Below are 15331 nucleotides of genomic sequence, written 5' to 3'. Positions count from 1 at the left end.
AAATACTATATATAGGGTTTTGTACTACCTGCAGTTTTAGGCATCCACCTGAGGATTTTGAAGCATATCCCCTATGGATAAAGGAGAACTACTCTATTAGTTTTTTGTGACTCATACAGTGAACAAAACTGCAATATTAAATGCATCCCATTAGTACATCTCAGAATTTCAATAAATTTGAAAATGTTATACAACCTGGAATAGGGGATCTTTATTTGGATTTGTATTCCCACTAAAATTAATAAATTATACATTTCCACCTATGGGGTTACAAGCTTAAAATGCTGCTTCAGTGGATACTATATGTCTTGTAGCACTAGAGAGAAGATGCTATATATACTTGAAAGTCTTTTTTGTTTATGAATATGATGCTATAGCTTGAGTTTGTCCCTTCTTCCCTTGACTGTCTTCTTCACTGGAGTTGATGGGCTACAATAAATTTCCCACATTTTGACTTTGTAGATCTGCATCATCACGTCAGGTAGATGGTGTAGTTTATACTTAAGAGATAAGATTTTCTCCATTTGAAGCTTTTTTCTCCCACAACTAATCTATTAACCATTTTGTTACGTGCCATTTTACCTGACATGCACTGACAGGGTCACTAGGAAGTTAGCTAAAAAAATGCAAGTATGTTTTAGAAAAAACCTATATATACTGCTTCGTAATAATTAGATGGTTGAAGTGACTAAATTCATTGATTTAAGCTCGCACATTTCCTGTGGGTATCTCGCATCACTGTTTGAGCGCTATGGCTTTTATTGTAAACATAATTCAAAATAAGTTGAGTAGAAAGTGAAACTACAAAAAATTAACAGTTACATTATGCTGAAAGCAATAACATTGATATTTATGAAGAAAAACTGAAAACTCACTTATGATTGAGCTGCATATAAGTACATGATTATGTTAATACTGTAGGAAAATGTTGACTGCCTTCTGTTTACCCATGCGTGTATTTTTTTTTAAGTGGTGATAGATTAAACAATTTAAGAAACGTGACTCTCCTAGTCACTTAGAAATAGGTGGATTAGGGCCAGGTGCAGTGGCTCATGCCTGTAATCCCATCACTTTGGGAGGCTGAGGCAGGTGGATCACCTGAGGTCAGGAGTTCGAGAGCAGCCTGGCCAAGATGGCGAAACCCCGTGTCTACTAAAAATACAAAAATTAGCCAGACATGGTGGTGGATGCCTGTAATCTCAGCTACTGGGGAGGCTGAGGCAGGAGAATTCCCTGAATCCAGGAGGTGGAGGTTGCAGTGAGCTGAGATAGTGCCATTGCACTCCAGCCTGGGTGACAGGAGCAAAACTCTGTCTACAAAAAAAAAAAAAATAGGTGGATTATTTTCATGATGCTAATTTCATTTGCATTGTTTAAATCATGTGTTAATATCCTCTAGGTGGGTTAATACACATATGTAGTATAAAGTAACATAGAAATTATGAGACCTTAGACACTGAGTAGATTTTTCAAAAATATGAGTTATAAACATTTTTCTAACTCTAATTCTATATAAAATAAAGCACGTCAATATTTTATGATTTCTAGCTTTAAAGGTCCAATATATATATGAGAAAATAAGTTTCTTATTTATATGAAAAAGTTACAAAAAGTTGAAAATTCAGGCTATAAAGTGCATCATAATGAGGTTGAGCTAACTGCCATTTTGAAATGCTTCCTTTGCATAGAAAGCATCACAATATTTGTTTTCCTTCCAAAAATCATTGATAGTTGGTTTATGTTACATATTAAAATAGTGTGTGTTCTTAGACATTAGTGACATGTTAATGATATAGTAGTTTTTACTCAGAGATTGTTAGTTTTCTCACTAGAGTAGTTTAGAAACAGAAAATTTTAATACTTTTGTAATAATTGAGAAAATTGAAAAATCTACATAGTAATAGAATTTAAGTTACTAAGAATTTTCTTCTACAATCCAAATGGTAGGCAATTCTCATTATGCAAGATTGTTTCAATTAAGAGTCTTTTGAGGCATTCTATTTAGTAGTTAGACTTTTATTCTTTAGGGTGTATTTTCAAACCTAAGGAAAATACACCTTTTACTTGTTCTCACTGCAAAATCCTCTCTATATGTATGTCTTTGTTATCTTACATTTGCTATGGAGCCATTTTATATAGTGGTATAATAACCACTTCATATTGCTTGTCTCTTTGCTTTTCTATGAAAGGTACAAGACTTGGTGAGATAAAGACAAATGACAGTCACACCACTTATTTAAATGTAAGCAGATCAGAAAGAGTGTCCCTTCCAACTTCTAGCGTACATAGGAGACTGAGATACTTTGGCAAATTATTCATGCCATTTTTAATAAAACGTAGTTACCAATTGTTTGCTGATGCTGTGCTTGATTGTCTCTTCTCCAGGTATTGGGAGATCGATGGGCAAACATCTGTAGATGGACAGAAGACCGCTGGGTTCTTTTACAAGACATCCTTCTCAAATGGCAACGTCTTACTGAAGAACAGGTGTGTCATGTGTGAGAAACTAGCTGTAAAAGACACGGGGGGATATTAAATTGGAAAAGTAAAGATTTATGTTTATTTATTCCTTGGAATTCTTTAATGTCTTGCAGTGCCTTTTTAGTGCATGGCTTTCAGAAAAAGAAGATGCAGTGAACAAGATTCACACAACTGGCTTTAAAGATCAAAATGAAATGTTATCAAGTCTTCAAAAACTGGCCGTATGTACTTTCTAGCTTTCAATGGTCTTATAAAAACCCAGTACTGTATATTATCACTATTATTTAGTCTCTTCTATGCTATTGAATATTAAATGTTTATTTTTGCTTGGATCATAGATTATTCAAAGATGTTATATTGCTACTTTTCTGAATTAAAGTGGGAAAAAACTATAGGTGGATTTTCAACTTTGTTTTTCAAAGTTGTACTCTTGATAAAACATAGCATACCAGAATAAGACTTCAATTAAAATTAATAAAGTAATACTAAGAAATGTCTGTGAGCCTTTCATAAAGTTCTAAGCAGCATAGTTCTAAAAAAATAGACTGACGTTGATTCTCAGAATAATATGTGAGAGTTACAAGCGACGGTTATCCTGACATTGATGGAGTTTAACCTTAGTTTATTATAAAGGGGTACCTGAGACTGGGACTGGGTAACTTATGAAATAAAGAGGTTTAACTGGCTCATGGTTCTGCAGGCTGTACAAGAAGCATGACACCAGCATCTGCTCCTGGTAAGTGCCTCAGGAAGCTTACAATCATGGCAGAAGGAGAAGGGGAGCCAGTGTATATCACATTGCAAGAGTGGAAACAAAAGAGATAAGAGGAAGGTCCCAGACTCTTTTAAACAACCAGATTTCATGTGAACTAACTGAATGGGAACTGACTCATCATGAAAGGGATTGTGCTAAGCCATTCATGAGACATCCGCCCTCATGAGCCAATCACCTCCCACCAGGCCCTACCTCCAATGCTGGGAATCACATTTCAACATGAGATTTGGAGAACAGAGATCCAAACAATATCACCTAGTTTTTCAAGCAAAAAAAAATTAAAGCCTATCAAATGACATTGATTATAAATACCTCGAGTGTTTTGAGAATGAGATTTCTTTGGCAATAAATGGATTTCAGAAAAGACTTCATTGAAGCATTTGGTTTCAGCAGGAATTTCCAAGATTTAAAAAAAAAAAAAAAAACTCTAAAGTTTCTCTTACTCTGTGAATTTTATCATTTCTAGTAAAAGAGGCCGGTCTGATACTATGAGTTTAATTTTTCACGTGACATATTCTACTTTATGATTTCTTAAAATTTTTGATAGATTTGATTAAATGTTCATTTGATATGAACTTTTATAAAACAAAATGGTTGTAAGTAGTGTTCCATAATTTCACCTTTATTATTGCATTGTACTTCATAATAATGCAATAATTTCTAAACTTAAGTAAATTTTTCCACTCATTTTAAATACGTACCATTTTACCAGCTATTTATTTGTTTCATACATTTTTTTTGCTCCATAAATGCTAACCCTCATTGGTCTTTTAATTTAAAATAGATTCACTTATGTATTACTTGTTATTACAAGCTAGCTTATTATTGATAAGAAATTATTGCTCAAAGAATATGGACTTTATTAAGTGATGTGACTGCCGAAAATAGAGTTCAGAAAAGTAACCTGTATATGTTTGAAAACACGAGTGCAAAAATATCAGCTGTATTTGTAGTTTTGGCCTGCAGCTGATGGGGAGCCATTGAGAGTTTGCAAAAGAATCATATTTGCATTTTTGTAATTCTTTTTGGTAGGAAGATGTTTGATGGTACGAGGACTAATCAGAAGACCTGAACTAAGTAGCATTGGGCATTAAGATAAGAAGAGAAACATTAGAATGTTAAGATGTGATGAATGAAACTTGTGATAAGAGGCAGAAGTTTGAAATGGTTCCTAGACATTTCATTTGGGTGACTGGGTTCCTAGGAGGGTTATTAGCCCTAACAGGAGAATAGAAGAGGAATTGCTGGAATGACAAAAATGATAATTATTTCAGATTTGGATATATTCCGTGTAAAATGTCTTTGAGACATCCAAGTTAAAAATCCTTTCCATTAATCAGTTGGTTTACACAACTAGAATCTCAGAAAATGGTTCATGACTAGTTATTGATTCAGAAGCAATCAAAATGCTTCTGAGGGATTGTGTAGAGTGACACATTAAGTGAAACGAATAGATTTCAGGGAGGAATGTCTACAATCAAGGAGTAGGCAGAGGATAAGATGTTGACCAAAAGATTGAGCAGATACCACAAGGGGAAAGTGGTATCACAAAAGTGAGGAGAATAAAGATTTCAAAAAAGTAGGAAGTGGTACACACTGTCACATGCCACAGAGAGGAGAGGATAAATTCATGAGGGATTCTATCATATCTAGAGGAATGGATGCATGGATTACATCTCCTTAAAGCAGAATATTCCTTACAAACATTGTTCTTCTCAGGCAAAATGTGAATCCTTTCAGTAAATAAGTGAGTGACCACTGATTATCAAAATGCAGTCATGCCCTCTGATTAGGAGCGAAGATATATTGCTAGTTAAATACAGAATCATGTGCTTCAGACGGTCAATCATAATGGTGATGGTCAGTCATATTCTGTGTGCTGAAAAAGTCACAAGCCTGCCCAGATTCAAGGAAAAGGGAATTAGATTTCATTTCCTCATGGAGAAACACCAAGGTCAAGTTATAGCAAAGCATCTGAGATGAGGATATTTTACAGCCATCTTTGGAAAGTACCACATGCCAGAATAGTACAGTTATTTTACATGATGATAAATTCCAAATCTTAATATCTAGTCAAAGTTCCTGCATATATTGTTGACTAGATTTACCAATCAAGAAAGTTGTTCTTAGGAAGCCACAAACTGACAAAATCCAAATATGTTAAAGCTAGATGAGATTTTGCATCTCATCTAGTGTTTCTTCAATCTCATTACACATGTAAAGTTCATTAGGACCATCTACTCAGTTTGTTTCCAAGAGAAAATCGAGATCAAGAAAAAACACAGGATCTGTATCCTACAACATTAGTATCAGACTTAAAATGAACACTAAGACATCCAGACTCAGGTCCAGGCCTTTCAATCTATTTCAGTAGTCCTCATATCAGTTGATTCCTTGGAAAAAATAACTGCAACTGAGAACTGTCATTTCTAACAATAATGTGCCTCTATGTTAACATTTTTGTGAGCAGAAATCTTGGCTAGCCTCAGGGCCATAAAAATGCTCTTTTAAGAAAGTCAATAATTTTCCAATAGGATTAAAATTTGTGTTATGTCACCTTGCTTGTGAACAAAGAGAAAATATGTTTTCTATAGGTCTTGTCATTTGATAGTTTAAGCCAATTAACAAAACCTGACAGCTGGTCTAGAATTTGAGGTAAAATTCCTTTGCTGACTCAGGCAGTGAATAAGAATTTAATGTTCATTAAAATATGTCACAATCTGAGACCCAAAACAGGTACCATCTGTCACCAGTTTTCACTACATGTCTAGGTATAGATACACTGTGCTAAACTCTCTTCTCTTTACAATAAGTGTAATTTGTTTCAAAATAGTATCACTGATAACCCATGGGATTGTGTCCTGCTTGCCATTGAGGTGGGAGGTGGGGATTATGACATTTAATTTGCTCTAGATCTTTGGGATTCATATCCAAATCATGTAGATCTATTATTTTTTATAATCAAAACTGATTTAAGTTTTAAACTGATTTGGCATCAGGGATAAAAATGAAGGGAAAGAAGAAACAGTAGCTTTTATGAGGTGAATTATAAGACTTGTAGAATCACGTAAATTATCGTGGGAAGATCCAAGTCAAGAAGAAACCTGTTCCTGAGTAAATGTATTTCTGCTGTGGGGACTGTTGGCGTTTGCTGGGGAAGGACAGCTCTGGGGAAGCAGGGTGATCCAAGAGATTATGGTATATAAGGGCTACAGAAGTACTTAGGAATTGAAGATATTCTCAAATGGCTGTGGGATCAAAGGACATGGATGAAGTGCTCATGGTAACTGAGCAAGTTCCTGTTTGACTTGCTACCTTTACCTCAACTCCTGGGATGGCCCTCAAATAATTAATTCAGACAGGATCAATGCTTCTCAAAATGTGTTCCCCCGACCGGCAGCATCAGTATCAAGGAAATTTGTTAGGAATGCACATTGTTAGGCCATCTTCAGACCTACTGATTTAGAAACTCTGGAAGTGGAGCCTAGTCATCTGCATTCTAACAAGCCTTTCAGGTAATTCTGATGTTCTTTCAAGATGAGAACCTCTGTAATAGATCAACCTCCCAAAGTACAACTGGTGATTAGAATGAATTGGAGCACATCTTACATGTAGATAAGTAACTACACATAATATAGGTGGAAAACTCAATTTTGCCAATATAGGAGAAATTGTCTTGGCATTATTCTCTTATGCGTATTCCTGATGAGAGTGAGGTGAAGGTTTCCTGGGCCTTTTGTAAGGATACATTATCTTTTCACTTCAAATCATCTTGAACAGCTTATCTGTCTCTTCTCCATATCCACTACTGACCCAGTCTGATTTATTGACTGTACCTTCCTCCCTACCTTGGAGGTAGGTCTACATTCCTGGCTTCTATAAAAATAAAGTCTGTTTATTCTTTTACTATCCCAGCTGGCCTTTGCCTTGTACACATTCTCTAGATCTTCCTTTTGCCACCTGAATTTTCTAGAGCTCTATGGGTCTCTGGCACTCATAGACCTATGGTTAATTATTGATATGTAGAAATACATATTTTATGCAATAATTAGTAACAAATCATAGTTATTTAATATGCACATGTAAGACCTAAGCTTAAAAGAATCAGCATCAATGGATAGACAGGACAAGGTAATTCTAATGAATTCTATGATCTAATGTATCTGGCCCCATCATGGATTTTCTTTCTTTTCCTCCCTCAGTTAATAATCCTGGGGGAGTTCTGGAACTGGGAGATGACTACTGAAAGACAGAAAAAGAGAGAGAAACTGAGACCAAACAACTAATCTGCCATCATCATTTTTGATACTCATATCTAAAATTTACTAGGTATAAGTCTGGGTTCAGTGTTTTTGTCATACAGACATATAAAAATTCATTTATTCAATAATCACACAATGTAATTATAACATTGATTTTACTTTACCTTGAGTGCACTTTTTTCCTAATTGGATTTTTTTTTTTTTCTTGAGATGGAGTCTTGCTCTGTTGCCCAGGCTGGAGTGCAGTGGTGTGATCTCGGCTCAGGGCAACCTCTGCCTCCCTGGTTCCAGCGATTCCTTGCCTCAGCTTCCTGAGTCGCTGGGACCACAGGCATGCACCAACATTCCCAGCTAATTATTGTATTTTTAGTACAGACGAGGTTTCACTATGTTGGCCAGGCTGATCTGGAACTCCTGACCTCGTGATCCGCCCGCCTCAGCCTCCCAAAGTGCTGAGATTATAGGCGTGAGCCACCACCTCTAATTTTATTTTTAATGGTGACTTTCACTTTCATTTTTGTAATGCTTACCAAATGTTTCTTCATGTGGCTTAATAATAAAACAGGAGGCTTATTTTCATTTGTTTAGGTACCATGAGGTTACTCATAGGTTTTTATTGCAATCCTCTTCTTTAAACATAATTCTCACACTCCTCTTCTGACATGTTTCCAAATCATTACATATTTTGTTTAAATAATGGGTAGACCATTCAGCCTTACACATATGGCTATTTAAAATAGTTTCTAACATTCTGAGTAAGTAAGTCAAAGAGGATTGTACTTAGATTTTTTTTTTATTTTTAGATTTGTGTCTTTGTGTATATTGTGCCTCTTTCCATAGTAAAGAAAAAAAATGACACTATAACTGGAGGAATATACATTGAAATTCAAATATGGCTCTCAGCTTGGGACAGGTAGCATCAACCTTTGTTCTAGTACTAATGCAAATATTCACTTAAATTTAATGGAAAACTAACAAGTGAATTAAACAAAATGAATATGCAAAACCTATCTATTGGGCTGGGTATGGTGGCTCATGCCTGTAATCCCAGCACTTTGGGAGGCCAAGGCGGGTGGATCACTTGAGGTCAGGAGATTGAGACCAGCCAGGCCAACATGTTGAGACTCCTGTCTCTTCTAAAAATTTAAAAATTAGCTGGGCTTAGTGGCATGTGCCTATAATACCAGCTACTCGTGAGGCTGACAGGAGAATTGCTTGAACCTGGGAGACAGAGGCTGCAGTGAGCAGAGATCATGCCACTGCACTCCAGCCTGGGCGACAGAGTTAGACTCCAACTCAAAACAAAAAAGAAAAACCACCTACCTATTGCTAAACCCCCACACCGTGAGTTTTATTTTGATTTGAATTCAGTGTATAATATCTTAATTTGTATTTTGGTCTATTGCATTCTTTCAAACTTAGAAAAATACTGAACTTATTGTTAAGGAAAAATTAGAGATGAAACTTAAATCTTGCTTTGTTTCCCCTTAAAAATGGCATGAAGACTGAACTATAACATACTCCAGGTGAAGCAGATTCTGAGTAAAAGACAAACTAATTGAAGGAGCCACTAGAGCATTCTGCAGTTCAGAGCTATCAATGCAGGTGCCATGCCAAAATGGGCTACTTAGATTGTCCTTTTCAGGAAGGTGTATTGACTGCTCTAGGTTTGGGGCACTTTGCTTCATGGGCAATTGGTGCATTTGTGTCATGACAATTTGCTCTGTGGTATGTTAGTTCTTAAATAAACTTACATTTGTTTCGGAAAGACAGGTATCGCGATTTAGTTTACATTCATTGTATTTGCTGCCAAATATGGGGTTGTTAAGTGGCTGTAAGATAATTTTCTCCTTTATTTCTCTTCCTTCTTCTCCTTTGTTTACAGATTAAGTCAGGGAGTAATGTTCAGTACCCAGGAATTGAATTTGTCTGTGTATCAGGCAAAGTTACTGAGTCAAGTAAAAGAAAAACTGCCCTGATTTACTGATTTCACATAAACCACTTATTCCTTTCAAATCAACCAAAGGGAGTTTGTAACCCTCCACAGCTCACAGGAACTTTGGAAATATAAATGGTATAAAAATTGCTTCATAAGACACATAAGTATTTATAAACTCTGAAAAGAGATGCTGAAGCATTTATGTCATGCCCAGCGACTTAGTTCTTTTACTTAATGGGCTCTACAATTAGTTTTAAAAAATAATTACTCAAATAACCAGATGTTAATTGATTAATGGATGCTACAAAAATTTTATGGTCAGTAAATCACATAATGAGATTTTATCTCCAAATAATGAACCGAATGTTAAAACTGTGGAAACAATAATATTGTAATTTTATCCAAATAATCACAGCATTTCAGAATGGCAAGTTTCCTTAGCCATTCTCATTTTCTCAGCTCACTAGCTTTTCTTCAGTACTCCTGGTACCTGATTGTCAGTTTTCGTTTGAATTCCGTCAGGAATTAAGGGGAAATCCAAGATCCGTGCCTTCTAATTTCCACATGTTGATCTCTGTTTTGCCTTTTGAAGCAATATTACCTTTTCACTTGGATTTTCTTCAAATATTTCAAGGTAGCTCTTAATTACCTCTAGTAGGTCTTTATTCTACGTTTGAGTTTCTTTTCTCTTCTTTTCTCTTCAAACTTCTTGGGATAATTAGATAGATTATAACTTTCTACCTCTATTTTTCTGAACTTTTGATCCTTTGCGGGCACGATTGAAATATTTTCTTATCTATGCAAATGAGCAAATACACGCAAAAGCAGATTGAACTATAGTGGTGTATGGAATGCAACCCAGGCTTATTCTGTGATCTTTCTTGTTTTAACAGGTTTTAAAAGCGGATCTAGAAAAGAAAAAGCAATCCATGGGCAAACTGTATTCACTCAAACAAGATCTTCTTTCAACACTGAAGAATAAGTCAGTGACCCAGAAGACGGAAGCATGGCTGGATAACTTTGCCCGGTGTTGGGATAATTTAGTCCAAAAACTTGAAAAGAGTACAGCACAGGTTAGTGATACCAATTATCATGCTACAGACTATCTCAGAGATTTTTTAAACCTGCATTAAGAGAGTGACATTATAACCCTACAAAAGAAGCAACCAGATTAGTTTTTGCCCTGTGTTTAGTTAAATAAAAACATGATTCTTTTGCCTGTCTTGTTGTTGGAGAATGGTGGTGAGGTAGAGTGCTAATTAACTGAACTTGTTACTGCCCTAGAGTGAATTTCTTCCAGCCCAATAGTAACGGGGAACTGAGTGACTTAGAGCAGGCGAACAAAATGCTGGGAACTGTATAATCACAGTCTAACCCCAAATCAGAGATTGCTAGAACCACGAGGAACATTAGCCAACTCCGTTTTACTCTTGAGAAAAATGAAACTTAGGGAAGAAAAGTAAATTTTTCAAGAGAAGTTAGTGGTAGGAGAACTAGGGTTCAGGTCTTTTGATTTCTTGGAAAGTTTTTTATTAGTGTAGTTAATTATCTGACTATTGTACCTTTTCTGCCATAGACTGCTGATTTCATAAAATTATGAATGTGGCTTAGTTATACTAACACATACGGGCTGTAGATTATGAAAACATCTCAGCTACATTTGGGGTATGTGGTTTTATTATAATAATTTTTAAAGATTTAGTCACTAAAATGGGGTATCGTTAAAAGTTGAACCTCTTTTTGTCTTATGTAGTTGGATGGTAGAATAATGAGTAGTCATTCAAGATATAAACATTATATATAATAGTATTTAACATATTCTGCCACATAGCCTGGCATTATAAGGAATAACTTTACTCAAAATTCATAGCTCAATGCACAGGCATACACTTCCATATTCAATAGATTTTAGGCAAATATTTCCTCTATATTGAGACAAGTACATGGAATTTGTTTTCTTGAGACCTGACATCTGATAAGTAGCACTTAGGAAATGCCTTTTGGAGACATGAAGTTTGTAGTATTGCCTCCAGGAATACAATTTAAGACAGCGTAATAAACCAGCCTATATGATTTTCAATCACAGTTCAATGTTACTTTTAATCCAATTTTACGTTAAAAAATTATAATTTGAAGAAATATGAATATAAATTGTAATAATTTCCCACACAATCATTACATAATAAAAACTCCATTTGTTTTCCATTAAACATACTTTAGCAATTAATTGACCTAATAGTAGTTTTAGTACTATATTATGATTCCTCCTGTTTTATGTGATCTGCCCATGGCTTCTTTGCAATACATTGGTATTTATGTAATAAATACATGAGACATTAGTCAATTTGATACTTTTTAACCCAACACTGAGAGTATTCCCATATGTACCCATTGCTTCCACAGATTATTGCTGCCATAAAATGGTCAGTTGCCGTGTTAAGAAAGATTGCCATTATTTGATAAAGAAAGTTATTTTGACGTGCATCCCTTTTAAGGGACATGTTTAGGGAGCTGTAACAGTTAACTGTAGGTCATCTTCTAGTTCATTTGCATTGCATGGAGTGGTTCTCAAACTTGAGTCTGCATAGTAGCCACCTGAGGAGCTAATTAAAATGCATATTCCTAAACATTTTGCTCAGAAAATCTCATCCATAAGCTGTGATAAGGACCTAAAAATCTACATCTTTACTAAGCCTTTGATACAATCTGCAGACCATAGAGGGGATCAACATACACTGGGATCTACTTGAGGTGGGAGGGTGGGAGGAAGTAGATGAGCAGTAAATAAGACTATTGGATACTGGGCTTAATACCTGGGTGATGAAATAATTGGTAAGCAAACCCCTGTGACACACATTTACCTATGTAACAAACCTTCATATGTACTCCTGAGCCTAAAATAAATGTTTAAAGAAAATAGACAGTGATATGTGTGTGAATCCCAACATTCTGGTTTTCCACAATGCTCCCTGAAATGTGAAAAGGGAGAGCTTCTTGGGAATACACTATATAAATATGCTCATTCCCTTGGAATGGGACTACTTTTTGATGAAGTTTGTACATGTCATCGAAATATTACTGATTTGATTATTCCAATTGGTAGAAAAGCATTTGAAGCCTTATTTTTAATTCCCTAGAAATTATGAGACCACCACCTAGGCAATTGACGTGATGTCTTCCAACTTGTATAATTCTATAATAAAAGAATACTGGTTTTGATTTGCATGGTTCTTTATGAAATAAAGTCCAACATGCATTACAGCATGTATCTCTTCACTTGCTCATAGGGATACAATGAAGATAAAATGGAGGCATAGACAAGAAAGCATTTGAGGGGAAAAAGGTTGAGTTTGATATGTAAGTCATGTAGTTCAGTGTGTCTGGAGGGCTTTTTGTGGTTCTCTATCTGCTTTTTTTTTTTTTTTTTTTTTTGAGATGGAGTCTCACTGTGTCACCCAGGCTGGAGTGCAGTGGCACAATCTCAGCTCACTGCAAGCTCTGCCTCCTGGGTTCACACCGTTCTCCTGCCTCAGCCTCCCAAGTAGCAGCTGGGACTACAGGTGCCTACCATGACACCCCACTAATTTTTTGTAATTTTAGTAGAGATGGGGTTTCACCATGTTGGCCAGGGTGGTCTCGATCTCCTGACCTTGTGATCCTCCCACTTCGGCCTCCCAAAGTGCTGAGATTACAGACATAAGTCACCGCGCCCGGCCCACTATCTCCTTTTAATTTTATTTTCAAACAGTTACACGCTCCTATTGTGGGCTAGAAATAAATAAAAGGACTTAACATCATGTAAGTTGTTTTCCAGAACACTAAGCTTGAGTTTTTCTTAAGCTTATGTTTCAGTTTTCTCTCATTGCCTTTCCAAAAATTATGCTGTCATGGGATTGATCCAAATCTTTGCTGGCTGTTTTTGAGCTCACAGGAAGGTAGAAATGGAGCTACTCAGGAAAAGAGAAATTAAAAGGAGGTAAACAGAGACAACAGCGAAATAGTATCATATAAGAGCAACTGATTTTCTTTTATCCATGTTAAATTGACCTTGATTAAAATTACATAAGGAGAATTCCAAGAATATGAGCTGTAAGGTTGTGACTTTGAAGAACAAAGCTCACTTGTATGTACATTTTCTATAATGATTGTGGGAGAAAAATGAGTTTCATTAATGACTACTCACATGATATACTCAATTGTTTCAAAAATTCTTTTAAATAATTAGTATAAAGAATGAGCAAAGTTCTCATAATGGTTAAAACCTATTGTGAGGCAGGGTGTGGAAATCGTGATTGAGATGACAAGGCACCCAGTTGTACTCATATAAAGAACACTGCTTGCGCGTATGATTGCTGTTCAGGTCAGAGCTTTGAGGCATTTTTGACCTTTTGAAGCAGTTGCATGGCAAGAGATCAAAACGTGAAAAAATAATCAGCTAGGAGGACTGCTCTCTTGCATTTCAAACTCAGATTTGACTTGAATAATACCTGGACACAAGCTGAGGGTATTTAAGTTGATTAGAAGGTAGCCTAAGAAGATAGAAAATACTTTTTTTCTAAATGTTGGAGAGATAATAACTCTTGCTATCTGGAGGCTTACAATGAGAAAAGAGGGCAAATATACCCTGGATTGACTTCTTTAAAAACTCAAATGATCATGATTCCCTGTAATTTTTTATAAACATACTTGTAATTTGTGCAGTTTTTTCTAATTGCCTTGGCCCTGATCGATATATATTTTATCTTGATCATAATTATGAAATACGATAGTGACGAATTCCATCAACATTTGCTTGTCTGGAAAAGATTTTATTCTTCCTTCACTTATGAAGCTTACTTTGTCTGGATATGAAATTCTGCCTTGGAAATTCTTTTCTTTCACGGTGTTGAATATTAGCCCCCAATCTCTACTGGCTTATAGGGTTTCTGCTGAGAGATCTGCTGTTACCCTGATGGGCTTCCCTTTGTAGGTAACCTGGCCTTTCTCTCTGGCTGTCCTTAACATTTTTTCTTTCATTTAAACCTGGAGAATTGTATGATTACGTATGTTGGGGTTGGTCTGCTCAGTATCTTGCATTCCCTGAATTTGAATGTTGGGCTGGCTTCTGCTCAGTGAGTATCTTGTATTTCCTGAATTTGAATGTTTGGCTGGCTTTCTAGATTGGAGAAGTTCTCCTGGATGATATCCTGAAGTGTGATTTCCAACTTGGTTCCGTTCTCCCCGTCTCTTTCAGGTTCCCCAAACAGTCTTTGCTTCAGAATTTACATAATCCCACATTTGTCAGACGTTTTGTACATTCATTTTTATTCTTTTCTTTTTCTCTAATCTTTTCTGCCTGTCTTATTTCAGCAAGATAGTCTTCAAGCTCTGAGATTCTTTCCTCTGCTTGGTCTATTCAGGTATTGACAATGTGATTTCATTGTGGAGTTGTCGTATTGCGTTTCTCAGCTCTATCAGGTCATTCATGTTCCTCTGTAAACTGGTTATTCTGGTTATCCGCTCCTGTTACGTTTTATCGTGGTTGTTAGCTTGTTTGCATTGGGTTAGAACATTCTCCTCTAGCTCAGGGAAGTTTGTTATTATCCACCTTTGAAGCCTACTTCTCTCAATTCATCCATATTAGCCTCAGCACACCATCTCACGCCAGACAGAATGGTGATTTTTAAAAAGTCAAGATACAACAGACGCTGGCATGGTTTCAGAGAAATGGGAATGCTTTTACACTGTTGGTGGGAATGTAAATTAGTTTATCCATTGTGGAAGACAGTGTGGTGGTTCCTCAAAGAACTAGAACCAGAAATACCCAGCAAGGCCGTTACTGGATATATACCCAAAGGAATATAAATCATCCTATTATAAAGATACATGCATTTG

The 15331-nt window shown here is 36.0% G+C and overlaps 1 protein-coding gene across 17 annotated transcripts in view; it reads left to right on the top strand.

The window, feature by feature from the left end:
* The window catches only part of DMD (dystrophin), a 2220167-nt gene that overhangs the window by 763157 nt on the left and 1441679 nt on the right, over positions 1-15331 (top strand). For all 17 annotated transcript variants that reach the window (XM_006724469.4, NM_000109.4, XM_011545467.2 and 14 more), the window contains 3 exon segments: positions 2386-2487; positions 2595-2702; positions 10351-10530. In XM_006724469.4, the coding sequence (XP_006724532.1) occupies positions 2386-2487; positions 2595-2702; positions 10351-10530 (390 nt within the window).

This window comes from Homo sapiens, chromosome X (genome assembly GCF_000001405.40).
Source record: "Homo sapiens chromosome X, GRCh38.p14 Primary Assembly".
NCBI lineage: Eukaryota > Metazoa > Chordata > Mammalia > Primates > Hominidae > Homo > Homo sapiens.
Note: the sequence above shows the minus strand (reverse complement) of the source record. Positions and strands in the feature narration are given on the sequence as shown.